General features: G+C 41.1%; 1 protein-coding gene and 1 long non-coding RNA gene across 7 annotated transcripts in view, besides 1 other annotated feature; one reads left to right on the forward strand and one right to left on the reverse strand.

Moving 5' to 3' along the window:
- Positions 1-18,376, forward strand: part of AQP4-AS1 (AQP4 antisense RNA 1) — a 70,639-nt gene extending 52,263 nt beyond the window's left edge. The window contains exons 3-8 of the long non-coding RNA NR_026908.1: positions 7,190-7,275; positions 8,247-8,292; positions 13,100-13,253; positions 15,423-15,552; positions 16,046-16,179; positions 16,710-18,376. This is a non-coding gene — a long non-coding RNA (AQP4 antisense RNA 1). The remainder of the gene's footprint in view (positions 1-7,189; positions 7,276-8,246; positions 8,293-13,099; positions 13,254-15,422; positions 15,553-16,045; positions 16,180-16,709) is intronic.
- The window catches only part of CHST9 (carbohydrate sulfotransferase 9), a 278,828-nt gene that overhangs the window by 11,090 nt on the left and 248,149 nt on the right, over positions 1-19,589 (reverse strand). Inside the window, exon 1 of one of the 6 annotated variants that reach the window (XM_005258362.5) lies at positions 6,997-7,217. The exons of 4 other annotated variants lie outside the window; for them this stretch is intronic. Coding sequence is in view for 1 of the 2 variants with exons in the window: in XM_006722555.5 (XP_006722618.1) it covers positions 18,247-18,309 (63 nt within the window). In the remaining variant the exon portion in view is untranslated. Of the gene's footprint in view, positions 1-6,996; positions 7,218-18,232; positions 18,310-19,589 lie in introns of those variants that run through there. One more of the 6 variants, XM_006722555.5, reaches the window with a different exon arrangement.
- Positions 10,138-10,749: an enhancer, noted in NCBI's record as "OCT4-NANOG hESC enhancer chr18:24507672-24508283 (GRCh37/hg19 assembly coordinates)". NCBI's record gives its function as "activates a minimal SCP1, AML or CMV promoter by ChIP-STARR-seq in primed H9 embryonic stem cells {active_cell/tissue: H9 hESC(primed)}" and the evidence as "EXISTENCE:reporter gene assay evidence [ECO:0000049][PMID:30033119]".

Genomic DNA, 19,589 nt, shown 5'->3' on the forward strand with positions numbered 1-19,589 from the left:
AGAGCCCTGGATTTTTGTCCTGGCTTTGCCTGTAATGCAATAGGATGTAACTCAACCATTCTGAGCATCTATGACTTTTGGGATATTAATAAGTATGTCATCTTCAAGTACTGTTTTAGTTTGTGCACCTGAATGTAGATACAAAATGGAGATGTTTTGAGATTGAAACTTTTATTGTTTTTAGGGAGCACTCTGTAATGCACAGAATAGTTCAAAATCATAAATTACAACTTAAAATTTTGGCAAGGCTAATTATAAATCTCGATGACCACTTCAGTTTTCTAAGTGCTTGCAAAAATCATGTATTTTTTTTTTCCTGGGAAAATGTTTTATTTTTCTAAAGCATTTATCACAATAATTTAAGAATTTATTATGATCATAGTATACAATCTCATTCACATATGAGACCTTCCCTCTTTCCCAAGTGAAGAATGACTAAGGAATCCAGAAAAGTCTACTTGACGTCCTGCTCTATAAAACTGTATCAAGGTAGAGCAAAAATGTAGTTATCTTTTCAGTAGGATGAATGAGTCCATTTACCACATACTGTTCATCTTGCCACATCCTTCCTACAACTCTCACAGTAAAAGAAGACATGGAAGACGGGATTTACAAGGTGGCATCCTCTGGTAGGGATGAAAATTTTAAGGACCTTGGCTTTTACTCTGGGTAAACTAGGGAACTTTTGTAGGGCTCTGGGTAGAAAAGTAACATGATCTCACTTAGACTTGAAAAGGATGGTGTGGAGAGGAATGGACTGGATATATACATATAGGGTTGTCAGCATGTTATTGGAAAAGTAAATGAATAAATTCTGTGCTGTGGACATAATGCATGGTGTCATCAGCCTAGAGGTGGAGGGAGTGGTGGGGAAAGTTTCCTAGGGAATATAAACATGATTGCAAATATATATATACATGATACACATGATTGCATATATATATATATAGTACATATATATGTGTGTGTGTGTATACACAATTTTTAACCATTGTATCCCCAATAGTGTCTAGAATGGTCTACAGCCTATAATAATTTCTCTCAAATATTTGTGGAATGAACAAGTGAATGAATGAATGGAATTAGGTCTTCAAGGATAATTAGTAATTTTCTAGCAAATTAAGCAATAGAACAGAGGAATGAAGCACCGTTCATGGAGCCACCTCCAGACATCATGGTCATTCCACCAGCTGAGGTTGAAGGGCACTGCTTTTTTTTCTAGTGCAAGAGGACTGTGTGAATAACCCCCTGAATACCATATGCCAACGTGTACAGCCCCGTGTATAGCCCCGTGTATTAGTCTGTTCTCATGCTGCTAATAAAGACACACCCGAGACTGGGTAATTTATAAAGAAAAAGATGTTTAATGAACTCACAGTTCCACATGGCTGGGGAGGCCTCACAATCATGGCAGAAGGTAAAGGAAGAGCAAAGGCCTGTCTTATATGGTGGCAGGCAAGAGGGAGAGTGTGCAGGGGAACTGCCCTTTATAAAACCATCAAATCTTGTGAGACTTATTCACTATCACGAGGACAGCATGGGAAAAACCCACCCCCATGATTCAATTACCTCCCACCTGGTCCCTCCCATGACACGTGGGGATTATAGGAGCTACAATTCAAGATGAGATTTGGGTTGGGACACAGCCAAACCATATCACCCCCTGAAACGGCCACTCCAAATCTTCCATACCATTGGACCGTCTATTTGGAGTTTTAACTCTAAAACCATTTGTCTGCTGTCTTCTCCAGAGACTGCCAGGATTACTTCAAAGCCCTTTGTGCTTCTTTACTCTGATCAGTGATTTGTAGTACATAAAGTTGTCACTGAAAATATAAAATTTGACTGTGGTTTGACAGACCATAGGGTTATGGGTGCACATGCATGGAAAGTACTTAGCACAGGCCAAATATAAAACTGCCATGATATTTATACTATTACACTGCTATAAATAATAACTACTATTATTGTTGTTTTAGCAGCAGCAGCAGTAGTAGTAGTTATAGTACTTTAATCCCAGGGACCTGGTGAATTTAAAGCCTCCCCATTTGTCCATTATTATTCAGACTATAATTTGTGTGTCCCTACATATGCCCTCACCAGGTCTCTTCTCTGCTTGACAATCAGAAATAAAAACAAAATCCACCTTCCCCTGTGGCCTCTGGACTTTCTGCTTTGTGGCCATCAAATTCCCCTTTAATCTCCAGGGGTTTCTGGAATGTTTGTTTCCAAGACTCTCTGTAAATGAAACTTGGCTGACTCCCAACACTCTGTGTCTCTTGCACTTTCTCAAGTAGGTGAAACTTGACTTCCTTGAACTACTTGTCTCTCCAGCCAGAAGATAGGGAGTGATTTCCCTGCAGCCCACGGCTGCTTCCAGGACATCACCCAGCAAAGCCCTCTGCTTCTGTGAAATCAATGTGTTCTCCTTAAGTCTCCCTTTCCCCCTCCTCTTGTTGTCATCTACCTTTATCACTGATCTGTCCACTTTACACACTCCAGCTTCTAACTCAGCTCCTGTCATTACATTTAGTGACTCTGACATCCAATCAACTCTCAGTTCCTTGACCACTTTGTTTTTAACAGAGGAGCTCTCCACTTCACATCAAACTTGGTTATCACCAGAGCCTTTACTATTCCCACCATCTTTCTGACCACTCTTGTCTCACCTTCCAGTTCAGTGTTATTTCCTGGTTTGCAATTCTTTGACCACTTTTCACTGTTACCCAGGTCTTAACAGCCAGCATGACTGGCTCTTCATTCTTCAGCTCTCAGTTGGAAAGTCACCTCTGTAGAAAGGCTTTCCCTATTCACCCTGTCTAGGTTATTTCCCTCCCTTTCAAAATATTTCCTGCAGAACCCTGCTTATTTTTCTCATAGCACTAATCACACTGAGAAATGATTTTATTTATTTCCTTCTCTGTTGTCTTTTTCACCCCACTCTACCTCCATTGCACTAGAATATAACTGCAGAGAGGTCTTATCTTTCTTGCTCTCTGTGGTACTAAGCACACTGCCTGGCGCATAGAAGATGTTAAGGAAATAATTCTTGAATAAGTAAATGTGCTTCTAATTTAATAGTGGTCTTCTAAACAACTGTTTTATGACCTTGTTGAAGAAAAACAACATTGACCAAAAGGTCAAGTTAAACTTGAATAAACAATTGACCAATTCTTGTTAAGGTGATGAGAATCTGTGTTTAAATAAACCTTTGGCAAAAGAGAAAACAAATAAAATAAGCACATGGGAATCTGCTTGCAGTAAAGTAGATGTGGAGGCTTCGTGTTTAACCTGCCTGCCAAATCAGATCAGTTCAAAGTCACTCAACGCTGTCTCCAAACCTGTCGAGGGCTTGCCAGCAATCCGGATTTCCAGGCCTTACTGCAGACATCCTGAATCAGAATGTCTGAGTGTAAGGCCCCTGACTTTAATTTCAACAAGATCCCCAGGTACTCCAGTGGCAGTCATAGCATTTGGGGACTACTGAACTAGAATATAAGAAAGGAAAGTATAAAAAAAGGCACAAGCCTTGAAAAGTTCCTTTCATCCTATCTGGGGGAGAAAGACATCAAATGTAGTGGACTTGAATATTTCAGTAAGAAGAGAAATAACTTGGATGTAGAGTAGGAATGTCACATGAGCCCTCATGCAGACTAGATGCAATGTCTTTCTTGTTTATCCATTTCTCGTTGCTGGAAGTCTTGGATCTCCAAGCAACTTTCTAAAGACTAGTTTAGCTGGGGAGATAACCTCATGAGGGAAAGGTTCACCACTCAATATAAATTAGTGTCCTCCTGTTTTATTGAGTGCTAGTAAGTTTCCTCTAGTCTAACCAAATTGAGATATGGGAAAAGGGTTAATTCTCTAAAGTAATGGCACCAGCAACCCACAAGGGTGGCCACCAGACCTTCTCCTGGAACTCCTCATCTCAATGTCATCCACCTTATAAAAGCTGTTATTCGGGTTTGATGACATCCCTCCCAGCCCCCATCTAACTCCATTTTCTTCCAATCACAGCAAAGACTCCATGACTAAGGGGTTTGCATTACTAAAATCATAGCTAATGACATTTCAAATTTAAAGCTCATACCAACAAAGTCCCATCATCATCATCATCATCATCATCTTCACAACAATAATAAAAGAGTAAAATCTTACATCTCCATTTTCCTTGGGACACTTTATTCTGATTGTCCCTGAGGCAAACATGTATATAAAGCCAAAATTATCCTGTTGCCTTCAAGAGTGGCTCCCCCTGTGTTATTTTCCGTTTTTGAAAAGGTCCTATTACTTTCCTGTCACCCACTCACAAAATCTGAGAGATGCTTTAACAATGGGAAAGTAAATTGGCTATTTTACATCTCATAATACTTCTTTTTTTGTATCTTTCTAAATTAATTACCCCCAATTGGATATTCATTATCCTCCTAATTAGTGTCCCTGCAATTATTACTAAATTATTCTTCCCCAAACATTTTGTTTTTTATTTCTTAACATTTTGAACTGGATCCTCTAGTATCAGTGAACGTCCCCATTCCTTTGCTGGCATTTGCAGCCTGGTGCTGCTGAGCCTCTTCTCCTTTTGCTTTTTTTGCTTCTCTCTTAACACATGCCCTGTCCTCCACTTGCTTTTATCTGGGCTCTTGGCAGCCCCAACTCATGGTCTCCTCCTTTCTTGGGACGTTCAAAATCTTCTAGTTTGATGTAAAAATCCTACTTTCTCCATGACAACCACCCAGGTCTCCAGTGAGTGATTCTACTCCCTTTGAAATGACTATAGCACTTAGTCTGTACTTCCTGTGAGGAAAGTAATTTTATTCCAGCTTCCACAGTTATTTGATTGTTTTGTTGGAAAAACTCTTTTAACTGCAGCTAAATTGTAAGCTATGGAGGAAAGCTATAGTTTTCCATAAATATCCTTAAAGAGTAGATATTGCAGAGTTAGCTGAAAGACATGTAACTACAGATTTAAAAAAATGAGTATCTAAAAAAAATATGGAAAAATGTGTGGAATGTTCATTAAGTCTGCAATAAACTTGAAAGCCTAATTCTTGTTATTTTTATTTATTTATTTATTTATTTTGAGATGGAATCTTGTTCTGTTGCCCAGGCTGGAGTGCAATGGCATGATCTTGGCTTACTGCAGCCTCTGCCTCCTGGGTTCCAGCAATTCTTCTGCCTCAGCCTCCTGGGTAGCTGGGATTACAGGCGCATGCCACCACACCCGGCTAATTTTTGTATTTTTAGTAGAGACGGGGTCTCACCATGTTGGCCAGGCTGGTCTCAAGCTCCTGACCTCAGGTGATCCAGCCGCCTCGGCCTCCCAAACTGCTGGGATTACAGGCATGAGCCCCTGCGCCTGGCCAATTCTTGTTATTTTTAAGGGTTTCTGTATCAAGCATATCTCCTCTGTGAATTCTTATCGATCCTCAACACTGATATGAATTATACTTTCTTTCTCCCCGTCAAAGTTGTTGAGCACCTCCTATACATCAGGTTCTGTGCTGGATGCCAGAGATGGTGGGGTTTATAAGACAAGTGCGGACTTTATTCATATACAGTTGGTATTCTCATAGGGAAAAGTATATTAAGCAAATAACTGCACAATTAATTAATCTATTACCATAGTGGCAAAGGCTCCAGCAAGATACTATTGGAAGCTGGGAGAGCAGAAATGGGGGTCCAGGATACAAAGAAAAGACTGGCCCAGTTTGAGTGTTAAGTCCTCTGTTTATTGTGTTTTATTTTATTCTAGGTAGTTGTTAGGGTTAATTGTTTAGGTAATGATCTCTCTATTTTAATTTCATTAAATGTCAGTGTGCACTCTTTTAAATCTATATAACCCCCACTAGCATCAAGAACACTATCTTGCATTAATAACATATGTTTGAATTTGATTGAAGCAAAGAATATCATTCCTGCACTGCTCCTTATTCAGGCAACAAATTCACATTGGTTTTATACTGTTGATAAGTGTTGTACATTTGTAGGACCTTATATACTATTGTGGATCCTATGGAAACTATAAAACTTGAGACTTTGATCATTCTTTCATCAATGCACATATATGGAATTACTACTGTATGTTGTTTTAAGCATTATATAAATAAGGATGAGATAGATAAAATTTGTGGCCCTTCAAGGAAACCAAAGTTTAATTGATCTGATGAAAATAAGCAGTTTATGAAAAAATGTGACAATTGCTATAATAAAAGGATAGGTCAGGTATTTGGAAAACAAAGAAAAAAGTGCTTAATTTTTCTGGAGAGATTTTTGGGGGCAAATTTCACAAGGGAGGTGATGCCTGAGATGAGCCTGGGAAGATGACTGAGGAGCTACCAGGTGGACAAGCCAGAGATGGCAAGGGCTGTACATCCTGACATCGAGTCTGCTTGGGGGCCAGACTCAGATGACAGGGAGAGGCAGGAGGGGTTGGGTGTCATTCCAGGAGGGCCTGGGCTGATATAAACAGTCAGACTTTACCATATATATGATGGGGATTTTCAATAAGGTCGTGACAAGATTCACGATTTAAAACATTCTGGGGCAGTGGGGAGGTGTGCCTGGGGGCAGAGGGATCTTCTGGAAGATGATTATGATTGTCCATCAGGAATCCTTAGGAGAGGAACTAAGACAATGGGGTAAGAATGAAGAAAAAGGGAGTTGAGACAAACTTAGGAAACTGCTCAGATTCGAAGCATAAGGGTGACAGAAGTGTAAAGAATGGCTCCCCATTTCCTCTCTGAGAGAAGAAATAGAAGTAGCAGTTTTTATGGGGGCCCTGGGGTGGGTGTGGGCATTCACTATCTTCGATTTCAGACCTCTTGAGTTTAAGGTGCCTTAGAGAGCTGGAGGTAGATAGCAGGACTGAAAAGCTGGGTATAGATTCAGGAGTTGTTGGCTGGTGGAGGTGCAGCTGGATTCATGGGCCTTGAAGGCACTGCCCAGGGAGTAATTTATAATATTACTCTTAATAATGTATCTTTTGTGATTTACCTTGAATCTAGATAGAAGTGCAGTTATATTTCTTCACACCATCAAGGAGACCTAATTGTCTCCAGTCATTGATAAGATAAATGATGGGAGAGGGTGGGGTGCTCAAAAGTCAGTCTTTTCTGGGGACACAGGTCAGTGTGTCTCTCCTGGGTCCCTCTGTGCCACAGCTACTCCTCTTAAATCTTGATTCCAGGGCTTCAGAAGCTGATGGCATAGTTATGAGAGGGGTGAAGACTGCGACTGCATTTCCAACAGACCCTGAGGACAATTGGGAAGAATGTGAGTACGGAGTCCTAATATCCAGTGCCATCTGCCCCATCTCGCTCTCCATCCTCACCCTTTGCCCTTCCACCTTCAGTTATTCATTAAACACGTGTTTTCTGAGCACAAACTGTGCTCCAGGTACTGGGCTGTGCGTTGGTGGTATAGCTAGCAAGACAGACTTGGTCCCTGATCTTACGGAGCATCCTTGTGGTCAGGGTGGGGTAGGGAGATACAAATAAGAAAACCAAAGTTATACTTATGGGAGGTAATGAGATGGAGAAAAAACTTGGTGCATTAAAGGACAAAAAAAAATTTGGCACAGGAAAACATGAAAGAGGAATCCTGGCTCGCAGGTGAGGGAGGGTATCTGGGAGAAACTATGAGCCAGGCAGAATCATTTCCATTTCCTGTCTCTGTGACTTATTTCCTCTCTCTTGAATATTCTTCTCCATTTTGTTTGCCTAGTTAATAGACTAGGGGGCATGGAGCAAGCTGGTTTAATCACTGCATCAAACAGAAGAGTAGATGCAGATAAGCTCATTTTACAGATTAAGAACCTGAGCTCAGAGAATTTAAATAATGTGCCAAGTTAACACAGCTATTGCTGGAGCTGGTGTCTCAAATCTCTGTCTTAGTCATGCCTGGCTTTTTTCAGCTGCATCATATATCAAGCAATCTATTTCTTGTTTAATGTCCATTAAATGAACTGATGTCAGGAAAGCACCAGGCATATGCCTGTTACAAGAGATAATGGTCGTTAAGAACATGGATTTTTGAGTCAGACAGAACTGGTTATGTGTCTTCTTCTATCGTTTTCTCTCTGGGTGACCTCGGTTATCTTATTTTGTTTTTCTGAGCTTCAGTTTCCTTATCTGGAAAATGAAGATAATAACAACATCTACCTTGTTGGATTATAGGAAATGCCTGTAGAGATTCCTTAATGTAAATATGTTCTCCATAAATATTAGATTTTTTTATTGATTTAGGCGCTGAATATTTTTGAGCAATTTCTATATGATAAGCAGTTTTTAGGTAAGTATTTGTTTTTTATTCTGCTTTTTTCATCTCTTTCTCCTCTTCCTTCTCTCTCACAACATGTAGCAAAGTTAAATGTTCAATGGCAATAAAAATGAGTGAGAAAAAAAGAGAAGGATAAGACACTTGAGAGACAGAAATGGGAAAGAGAAAAGATAAAATTAAGTGGAGGCAAAGGCAAAGAAAGAAAACAGAAGAAAAGAAATCACAATTATGGGTAACAGGGAGGAACAGTGAACACTTGAAGAGAGTGGGTAAAGAGAGAAACTACTGAATTACAGTCTTCTCCAAGCTATGAGCTTTAAAATATTTAAACTGCTTCAACACAAACCAGCTGTTTCTGTTGTGAGGCTATTCAAGTTGATCCAAAAAGCTAATTTCTATGGTCCTCTTGGATTCAAGGATTGAAACTATGGTTTTATTTGCCAGTTCTTTCCATTTTTGGATTTAATTCCTATTTTTTTTCTGCTTGAAGCCAAACAAGCTTAAAATATGAGGACTGAGGACATAACATAATGTGAATGTCAAGGAGAAGTTTCTATTGGAAACAGTGCTCTGGTTTGACAAGACCATCAGAAGCGGAAAACTGACATAACCTTAATGTATATAAGTAGATAAGGCTACTCCCCAAGGGGTTCAATATGCTTTTATAGATTTATCATTCTATCTTCCTTCCAAGTTTTGTAGGAAAAATGAGATGACTCTTTTGTTTGCAAATTTACAGATAAATAAATCAAGACAGACTTGTGTAATAACTTGCACAAGGTCACTCTAGAAAATGAATGGAGAAGTCAGGAATGTAGTCCAGTTCTCTAATTCTAACCCAGTAAACATTAGTTAGCAGAATATCTTGTTTTTTTAAAGAAACTCAAAGCCTTAATGAGGAGCTGCAACTTGATAAATGAAATACATTCAAAATGTTTGGCCCTATTTTATTTCTTAGGTTTGTGTCTGTACATATTAAATGTGGATGGGAACAGCAAAACCCAATAAATTATATTTGGCAGGAAAGAAGTAGAATAAGTTGGTGTTTTCACTATTAGGATTTAAACATTTCATTGGATTTTAGATATCTAATGGATTTGGGATATGGCTCTTTAATATTTCCGTGTATTTAGTTGTCTGAAATTAGTATTGGTCAGCCAGCCTCCCCTCCCCTTGCATTTCAGGTTAATGCCAACAACAATGTGTGTGTCCAAGAGGGTTTGGAGGAGCAATGGAGGGGTGCACCCTGACTCTGACACCTTGTTCTAAAGTATACAGTTGCTAGACAGAGTTCTTCTTCTTGTTCTCTGGAATGTGGTGAAGAGGAAGGAACCAGCTGTCTTGTGTTGCAATTTCAAAATGTCAAGTTTTCTTTTTATGTGTGTGTGTTATGGCCATGGATTGGCAAGAAAAAGATTTTCACAGGTGAAGGGGAGGTCTTCCCCTCCACACCTGTGGGCGTTTCTCGTCGGGGGGCGGGGGTACGAGAGACTGAGAAAAGAAAGAGATACAGAGACAAAGTATAGAGAAAGAAAAGTGGGCCCAGGGGATCCGCGCTCAGCATATGGTCTCTGAGTTCCCTCAGTATTTATTGATTATTATCTCTACCATCTCTGAGAGGGGGATGTGGCAGGACAATAGGGTAACAGTGGGGAGAGGGTCAGCAGGAAAACATGTGAACAAATGTCTCTGTATCATAAACAAGGTAAAGAAAAAGGTGCTGTGCTTTGATGTGCATATACATAAACATCTCAATGCATTAAAGAGCAGTATTGCCACCAGCATGTCTCAACTCCAGTCCTAAGGTGGTTTTCTCCTGTCTCAGTAGATGGAATATACCATAGGGTTTTACACCGAGACATTCCATTGCTCAGGGATGACAGGGATGAGCAGGAGACAGATGCCTTCCTCTTATCTCAACTGCAAAGAGGCCTTCCTCTTTTACTAATCCTCCTCAGCACAGACCATTTATGGGTGTCAGGCTGGGGGACGATCAGGTCTTTCCCTTCCCACAAGGCCACATTTCAGACTATCACATGGGGAGAAACCTCGGACAATACCTGGCTTTCCTAGGCAGAGGTCCCTGCCGCCTTCCGTGGTGTTTTATTTCCCTGGGTACTTGAGATTAGGGAGTGGTGATGACTTTTAACAGCACGCTGCCTTCAAGCATTTGTTTAACAAAGCACATCCTGCATAGCCCTAAATCCATTAAACGTTGAGTCGACACAGCACTTGTTTCGGGGAGCACAGGGTTGGGGGTAGGGTTACAGATAAACAGCATCTCAAGGCAGAAGAATTTTTCTTAGTACAGAGCAAAATGGAGTCTCTTATGTCTACTTCTTTCTACATAGACACAGTAACAGTCTGACTTCTCTTTCTTTTCCCCACACACAGGCAAGGGGGATGAGTCCATAAGATGACACTGGAAAAGGGGATTGGCTTGAGTGCACCAGGGGGCCAGAGACATGGGTCATCCCTGGTGACGGGAGTTGGAATGCTCCCCTGAGATGGAGACTGGAAGTACAAGAAAGAAGAAAGTTGTTGTGAGGTCAGGAGCATGGTGGCTGGATAGATCTTCAAAGTATGAAGAGCATTAGCTTTTGCGTCAGATTGCCTAGGTCTTCCACCTATTAATTGGGTGATTTTAGGACAATGTCATCATTTGTGGCTCCCTAGAATCAGACCTTAAGTCAAGGGTTGAGAACAAGTTATTAATTTAGTGTTGATTCCAGGAAACACTGGCAGGAGAGTAGGGAACTGAGAAAGGAAAGGCACAGAATATAGGGTGGATTATTGAGCAAGTTAGCACAGTGGGAATAGGAGCTGAATTCTACTGAGGAGCCCTCAGAACAAATGTAGAGCATATCTCCCCAGAGTTATTCCACACAATCCTATCAGCTGTGGTTAAAGGTTTCTGCAGGGCGAGTTCTGGCAATTCCAGTCTGCTCTACAGGCGGGCAGGGTGGACTCACTCAGGCAGAGTCACAGGTGTGGGTAGTTGGTTGGAAGTCTGGCTGGAGTGCAAAAGAATGTTAAGAGATGAATAAATATGGGAAGGCACAGCTAGCACTCTTACAGAGAGTCCATTAACATTCCTGAGTCTGTTTCCTCATTTTTAAAGTGGGAATTCCAAGAACTATTTTGGAAACGTTGAAATGTAAGTGAAGGCATTGGCTGGGATCCAGGACCCCAAACACTCTGTCTTACCATAGTAAGAGGTCTCAATTCTGTCTTCCTATACTCACTCTTCCTTTGGAAGTGTCCATGGTGTATGTTTGTGTCTATGCACACAAACAAGGCTGAGAAAAGGAACACCCTACAACTAGATGGAACCCTAATCCTGTTCAGCTAAGACTATATAGATCTGTGGGAATTCTGTTGCTCAGAGAAGGCAATCCTAACTTTGGGCAGGAGGTCTCTTTGGACCCTTTAACCAAGAGCCATGCCAAAATATCAGCCCTCTGATTCTCAAACTCTGATACTGGGAAAAGGTAAGTCTTTTAGAGAATTAACTAGATAAATGCAGTTATAAAGTACCTAGTACAGTACCTGACATATAGTGTCTGCCATATAGTAGGTTTCTCCAAAATGTGAATGCATCCTGTCTCTATGCCTTTCTTCTCTGATTTTCTTTAAATACCGGGCATATCATCTATAACGCTGCTTTCCCAACTTCAGATTAAGATGACCATGGGAACAGTCCCTGTGTGCATAAGCAGTTGACAGAGGTGGATGCTAATTCAATTAATAGTATCCATAGGCCAGTGAGCAACCAATGAGGGGACCTGGAGCAAAAGACACTGTCCAAGTGGGTAGAGAGTAACTAGCTAAATCAATGTGTCCATCTCCCTTTTGGGCTGTAGACTGGAAAATATGGAGAGTGGCCAGTTATTACGGGGTAGGAGGAGAGAGAGAGAGAGATGAAGAGAGAAGAGGAGGCACAAAAGTAGCAGAATAGGAGTCTGAGAGGGCATCTGAGTCAAGATAAGGTGAAGCTGGGGGCTATGACGTAAGTGACACTCCTTTTCCAGGAAGCAGCATATACCTGCCCCCAACCCTGCCCAACATGCCAATGCCTACTAGTCCAAAGCCACCTGAGTCCTGGGAGCAGCATTGCCATGTGCGAGAGTAGTAGGGGCACTGGCAGGAATGCACTCCATTCGTCTCACTGGATTAAGCATCTACTGGTCCCAGATCAGATTGGCCTGTGTCAGCACCTTTGAGTGAAACACACGCCCCTCTGGCTTATGTCACTTGCATATTTGACAACTCAGCTATACTTAAGACAGCTCCCCAAAGCCTGCTCTAACCCTCACTGGAGAGCAGGCAGCTCACACTCTGGTGCTACCATGTGTTACCTGGGCCCTGAGTTAGGAAGAGAGATTGCCTGTGGTATCAGATCATGCCATGGGGATTCTGAGTCCATGCTGAGTGGGGTTTCTTTTCAGGATTTCATTCTGAGAAAGAATGCAAAGGAAGAATATAGAATTACACTAGCAGCAAAGCAGAAGGACAGAAGGGAAGACAGGAGTCAAGTGGGTTGTCATATGATGAGGTCAGAGTGAATAGAGCACTAACAAAACTAAGCGAGCATCAAATGGATATTTGCAAGGTCTATGTATGCATGCATTCAGATACATTTTATCATCTTTATTTTTTAGAATATTATTTCATTAACTCTAAGTTTTGCAGCTTTTTGGGGTTTCCAAAATGGGTTACCTCTCCTAAAAACAGTTGTACTTGATTCAAGATATCAATTAAATGGGTACTGGAGGCAGCCATGGCCACAGCCTCTCCTTTTGTTCCCTTTCTTTGTGAGGGCAAGTATAGGTTGCACTGATCCTGACCTTTTGGCCTGAGGATGGAAGTCTTCAGTATCTGTACAACTTTACTCCCAAGAGCTGGTGTAGAATGAGTTCCTCTGGCCATGGGAGGATCGCAGAGGGGCACCTGCCACCAGCAGCCCAGCCTCAGTAAGTGCAATGTGCAGTTGGCAGAGGGGAGGGAGCTGGGGGCACACCAACCCTTTCTGTTACTTCCTGTAGGCATAGCCCAAGTCTCAGGAAGCAGAATATACATGGGGTGGGGTGGGGTGGGGTGGGGGAGGAGAGGGGAGCTGTTTCTGCCCCCACCCATTACCTACTAGTCCAAAGCCACTTGAGCCATGGGAACAGCAATGCTAACCACAATAGCTGCAGGGACCTGGAAGGGGATTGTTGATGCATCCAACTGCAATGCTCTTTTACATTGAGATGTTGATGGACAGGCTTCTACCTAGTCTTCTCTAGAGATACACATATCATAAAGCAGGCAAGTATAACTCTCTACACATTCCTTAGATGCTGTATCATTACCCCCTTCCCTCACTACAATTCTGTAATCTGCACCTTGGGAGGAACAAACACGTCTTATTGCACCTTGCCCAGAAATAGTATCACAGCTTATTAACTCCATCTACTCCCCACACAAGGGATAACGACTGTCCACTGAAGGGGTAAGGAAGTCTCAAGTGCCACACAAGGAATTTTCCTAGGGCCTTCCATCATTTTAGGCCAATAGTAACTCACCTATAGCCAGTACTGTAGCAAGTTGAAAGTGTATGGATTTGGGTACCATTCATCTGTAAAAACCAAAGAAAAGACTTGCCCTTCTGGATTAATTCACAGACCTGTGGGAAGACCCTCTTGTCTCACCTGTGACTCATGACCATATTTTGAGATCCCCAAGTCCCTGGAGCCTGCTTCCTCCTGAGCAAAGAGGGTTGTCTTTATTTCAACGGGCAAGGAAAGTCCATTTGTTTGTCTCCACTCCTGCCAGGGCTCCACTCTCCTTCAGTTACAGGAGACCTCCTGAAGCAAGGCTGGAGGGAGAGGCTGTGTGGTAAGAGTGAGCTTTGAATGAGTATGGACTGAGGGCTTCACATGCACCAGATGCTGCACAAAATAATTGAATTTAATCCTCACTCTGGCTCTGACAGGTGGTTGAGATCATATTTTTATTAAACTTACTCAGCATTTTATAATGGGCAATTAATTGCTGGAGGTGGGATTAAAATCCAGTCTTGTCCAGCTCCAAAATGGTATGTCTCTCACTACCTAACCCATGCTTTCCTCTCGGTGACATCACATCTGTAACTATAGGAGTGTTTCCTTGCTATCAGATCCAAATGAATACAATCCTTTGTACCGAGTTACCTTGAGGTAGCCAAATGTGCCGGAGTCAACTCTAGTTAGAATGAATGAGGACATCATCCCACCTTTGGTTGCTTCAGCTCTCCAGTTTAAAATAATATATGTTGGGTACCAAGAAGCTCTACTGAACATCATTGTTGGAATGACCAAAGTACTAGGCTCTTGCTCCTGGACAACAATGATATAAGTCAGCACTGCCTGGACTTTGGGTCTCTCCTCAGGTAGCATAAACCACACAGAGATTGTGATCATCTGCTCAGCTTTTATGTCAGCCTTGCAACAAATCTCCTTATCTTCATGGGATCTTTATCTTCACTTCTGCCTCCACACTACTGTTAGAAACACATATACTGAGACTTGGTGGTTATGGAGTAATAATATCTTCACTCCATCAATGTTGTTTTTTTTCAAGAAAATTTATTTTAAATCTTGGCACTTCCACAGCTGCAAAAAATCTGGGAGAACAAGCCAGCACTTGTGGAGCTGTGTGTGTTAGCTGGATCAGGGGTGAAGGGGGGCAAGCTGAAGTACCTTTCAACCCCTGATAAACTCCCAGGGACCAAGGAACCTGGTCCCCATGGCTTTTTATCACTGAGATGCTAGCTCTATAATGCCATCTCCATGGTGATTTCTACATTGAAGAAGAACATTTATTTCCTGCCACCAGTAAGAGACCACCTGAGTGTTCAGTTGCAGTATCTTCAACTCCCCAGATCCATCAGTAGCATTGTCTTCTCTGGGCTTCTCTTATAGAACTCTTTTTTAGCAAAGTCAAGTTTCCATATTCTAGGTAGTAACTTATCAGATGGATGTTCAAAACGATGGAAGCAAAGCATTCATGTATTGCATTTCAGTTATTTTCTCTGGGGTTTTATCACCCTTCAGGTGGTTGTCTCCAAAATAACAGGTGTCATTCTGCTCTATTAATCTGGTTCCCCTACCTTTATCCAGGCACTTTTCTCTTCAGCGTCTTCTTCAAGGTATTTCCAGTTGCCCGCCCTGAACTGTTTCAGAATGAGGAGGACACCTGGAGGAATCTACACGTGCATAGACCAATTTGCAAAAGAACCTGTGAGCCAACGTAGGTTGTGAGATGCATATCCCACATCCAGTTCAGCCCAGTAACTTGGGAAATGGGGGAGAGGTAGCTCTGAAGACCAGACTTAGTACATTTTTACCCCCATCCATGCTTGCAACTGTAAGTTGATCTTAAATTAGTACTTTTAACCAAGTCAACCTCAATCACTTGAATAGGATACCCAGCTGAAAAACTTGGGGTCACTGAATCAATCTCTTATCTGTAAGAGATAATGATGCCCACCCAATGGGGTTCTGAAAAATATGTAATGCCTGACATGTAGTGTATACTCACTGAATGTGGCTTTTAACCACAACCTTTATATTTTTGCCGAGTATCACCTTTCTGCAGCAACCGTGAGAACCTCGCGCTAAGCTTGTCTTAGATTGCTCATTCCTTTCCTATATTTAGACACCAAACTCCATTCATTTTCCCCTTGAAATGTTCATTCCCATGATCAAGATTTTGCTTAAACACATTTTGTTTTCATGTCCAGATTATTACCTCAGCTGGAAGAATTAATAAGCAACACGTTCACCCAAGAAGTATTTACTGAGCACCTACTATGTGCATTATTTTCTGGTGTTGGGGCTAGGGGGCAAACGACTCTGACAAGTCTCTGTTCTCAAGGTACTCACATTTATATGGATGAAGATAGATAACAAACAAGGAAAAAATTGGACAGACAAAAAATTTAGGTGGTGCCAAGTATGATGCAAACACTAAAACAGTAATGCAATAGAAGATGTCAGAGGGAGAGTGGGAAGGTTACGTTAAATAGATGTCCAAGGAAGATCTCTCTGAGGAGAAGCTACTAGGGCTGAGATCTTAATGACAACAAGGAACCCAAGGGCTGGAAGCAGAGCGTTTTGAACATGGCCAGTGGGTGCAAAGGCCATCACACGTGAATGGGCCTGGCCAGGTGGAAGGACAGAGGGCAAGGCTGTTGTGGTTGCCCTGTGAGTGCGAACGGCCCAAGATGGGATGAAAGAGGAGGTCGGGACCACACCGTATAGGAATATCAGATCATGGTCAGGGCTTTGGATTTTACAGGGGTGCAGTATAAGCCATGGGGAGTTTTAGACAGGTACAGAAGTAATTTACATTTTCTTTCTTTCTTTTTTTTTTTTTTTGAAACGGAGTCTTGCTCTGTCCCCCAGGCTGGAGTGCAGCGGCGCGATCTCGGCTCACTGCAAGCTCCGCCTCCCGGGTTCACGCCATTCTCCTGCCTCAGCCTCCCGAGTAGCTGGGACTACAGGCGCCCGCAACCACGCCCGGCTAATTTTTTGTATTTTTAGTAGAGATGGGGTTTCACCATGTTAGTCAGGATGGTCTCGATTTCCTGACCTTGTGATCCGCCCGCCCCCGCCTCCCAAAGTGCTGGGATTACAGGCGTGAGCCACCGCGCCCGGCCGTAGTTTACATTTTCTAAAGCGTACTCTGCCAGCCAAGTGGCAAACAGACTTGGGCCTCTTAAGAGTGGAAGCAGGAGGAAACCCGAAGATCCTGGAGAGAGACTGGTGGCTGGTACCAGTGGAGAGGGAGCAAAAAGGAAAATACAGGATACAATTTCAGGAAAAATTTCATACCAATTTCCTGAGGTAATTTCTGAACTCGAACATTTTCAGTGTCACCACATTGTGTTTCCTGCTGAATCAAGTCTACATCACTTCGGTTTTTAAAGCCTTCCACGATCCTTCCCTGAACACTGTAGTTTTCACTGATGGTTGGCTGTTTCAAACTCCCATATGATCCATACTGTATCATTAATAAGCAAGCAAGGAATAACACACCCTCTGCTATTCTGTGCAGTGTTTCAGGTTTTTAGTTTTCTCTTTCAAGATAGAAAATCCCTTTAGAGTAGGAACTCGGCTGGCACTTTCTTTCACATCCTGCATAGCACTTAGCAAAGTTCTGTACACAGGGCACATGTGGAAATTGCTTATTGATTGATTAAAAGCATATATCACTGGCATTTGTATCTTCAGTATTTCTCTTGTATGAAGAAGGGTGATTATCTGTCAATATTCATTGCATCATTGAACCAATGTACAATGCATTAATCATCACTGAAGATAACCAGATGAGGCTTTATTGTAATCTCCTTCTATTTTGCTGAGATAATTTCACTTGCTTTAGAGTTTATGAGGCCATAAGTGGCTCCCATCTGTTGATGAACATATTTCTAAGAGTCATTTAGTCTCAAGTATGGAATACTTGAGGGGAAGTTAAATTGTAACTTTTATATTAAGTGTCATCTTAGTAACAGAACCAAAATTGGAAGCATGTGTTCAATTTTGGTTTTTCATTTTCAAAGCTTTAGGTCAGGCAAAGAATTAATTTCATTTGTTTACAAAGTAGATTATGCCTAATAAAATCTATTTTGTTTATGGTCACATTTTAATCAATCCACTGCTTTAGAAAATGAGAGAATTCTGATTGGCTAATCATTCAACATAGTAAATTACATTATTCCACATCCACAGAACACTGGCCTAATTGCATTATCCAGTAATGATAAAAATATTCCTTTTAATACATTTTGAGCAAGGCATATACCAGTGATGAAACAGGGAAGAATCTTGTTTATTCCATCCTTGTTTGATGATCGACCACAGAATATAACATAACACTTCTGTGTATAAGAATTTTTTCAACATTAAGGATAATAAGGACAAGGTAGTTTTCACTGGATCCTTACTGGTACTCTGAATTTTCACTATTTGTCCGCATTTCTTCTCCTTCCCGGAAATTTGTTTTCTGCGAAAAACAAGTGCTACTTTGTCAAATAAAGCTTAAATAAAATTGGTTTCAATTTATGCATAATAAAAGGAATGCCTAGTGACTTTCTATCTCTAGTGGGAGGTAGAAAACTCTCCAGGGTGACTTTATTCACTCCAGAGGTTCTGGTGAGCACCAAGGAACATTACCTCTGCAAAATGCAGACATACGCAAAAGGATGCATCAAATTTAAGAGAAGTCCGTAGATAGATATCTGAGGGATCTGCCTTAGGGGATGTAGACCATATATACAACACGAATTCCACAGAATTAGCCTGGTATTCACGATCACTGTTTCTTAAAACATAACTCTTTTATGTTACCAAGCAACTTTTATCTGAGATGATGACTACTCGAATACTTCTTTTGCATATCGCCAGAAAATATCAAGTTTTCATTTGAGTCCTTAATTCAAGTTCTTTATCACAAGAAGAAAGAATAGCATGGATAAAATGGTTTAAAGGTAGCCAAAAAAAAAACAAAACATTGTATTTTAGAATGCATATTCAAACATATTCCAAAAAATACTGTATTTTAGAATGCATATTCAAACATGATGACAAGTGGGCTCTGTGGCTCATATTGACAATAGCTTTAACCTATGAAGTGAGTGTCTTTCTATACGGAGGTGATGAGTTACTCAATACTGAACGGCTCTACTAAATTGTGCTTTTGGCTATTAGAACTTGGCTACTGCCTTTCGTTGCTATGTGTTGAGAGAAAAATCTCAAATGATGATGCTAACCATTTTGCTAATAAAATATGCTAAGCTGAAACATTTCAGTTACTCAGTTCATCTTCTGGTACAGATGCTAGCAAGCAGAGAAGGTTATGATTTGAAAAACTCAACAGAAAGGAGGAAAAAGATGAGAAAAAGATTGACTAGAAAATTATTCATGGAATATATTTCACCAGCCTATTGGGTGTTAGCATCTTAGGTGGTGTGGTTAATGCTAATTTACATTAAATGGTAAATTAACTATTTTTATTTTTCATAAATGGTACATTTTCAGTACGGAGTTTCAGTATTCCATATTTTCTCACATGGGTACATACACAATGACACTGTTATTACTAACAATAAAGAACTTGTAAGAGAGTTTTTAGAAGTAACATGCTTTTCTAAGAAACACAAAGAAAACATTTTATAGTGAGTGAAAATGAAGGTTTTTACTTCAAATTCTCTTTTTATTTCCATGATATTTCTGCCTGGGCTCTGCCAAGGAAAACTGGCAGTGGGCAACGGATTATGCCAATGT

The sequence above is a fragment of the Homo sapiens genome, chromosome 18 (assembly GCF_000001405.40).
Source record: "Homo sapiens chromosome 18, GRCh38.p14 Primary Assembly".
NCBI classification, from domain to species: Eukaryota; Metazoa; Chordata; class Mammalia; order Primates; family Hominidae; genus Homo; species Homo sapiens.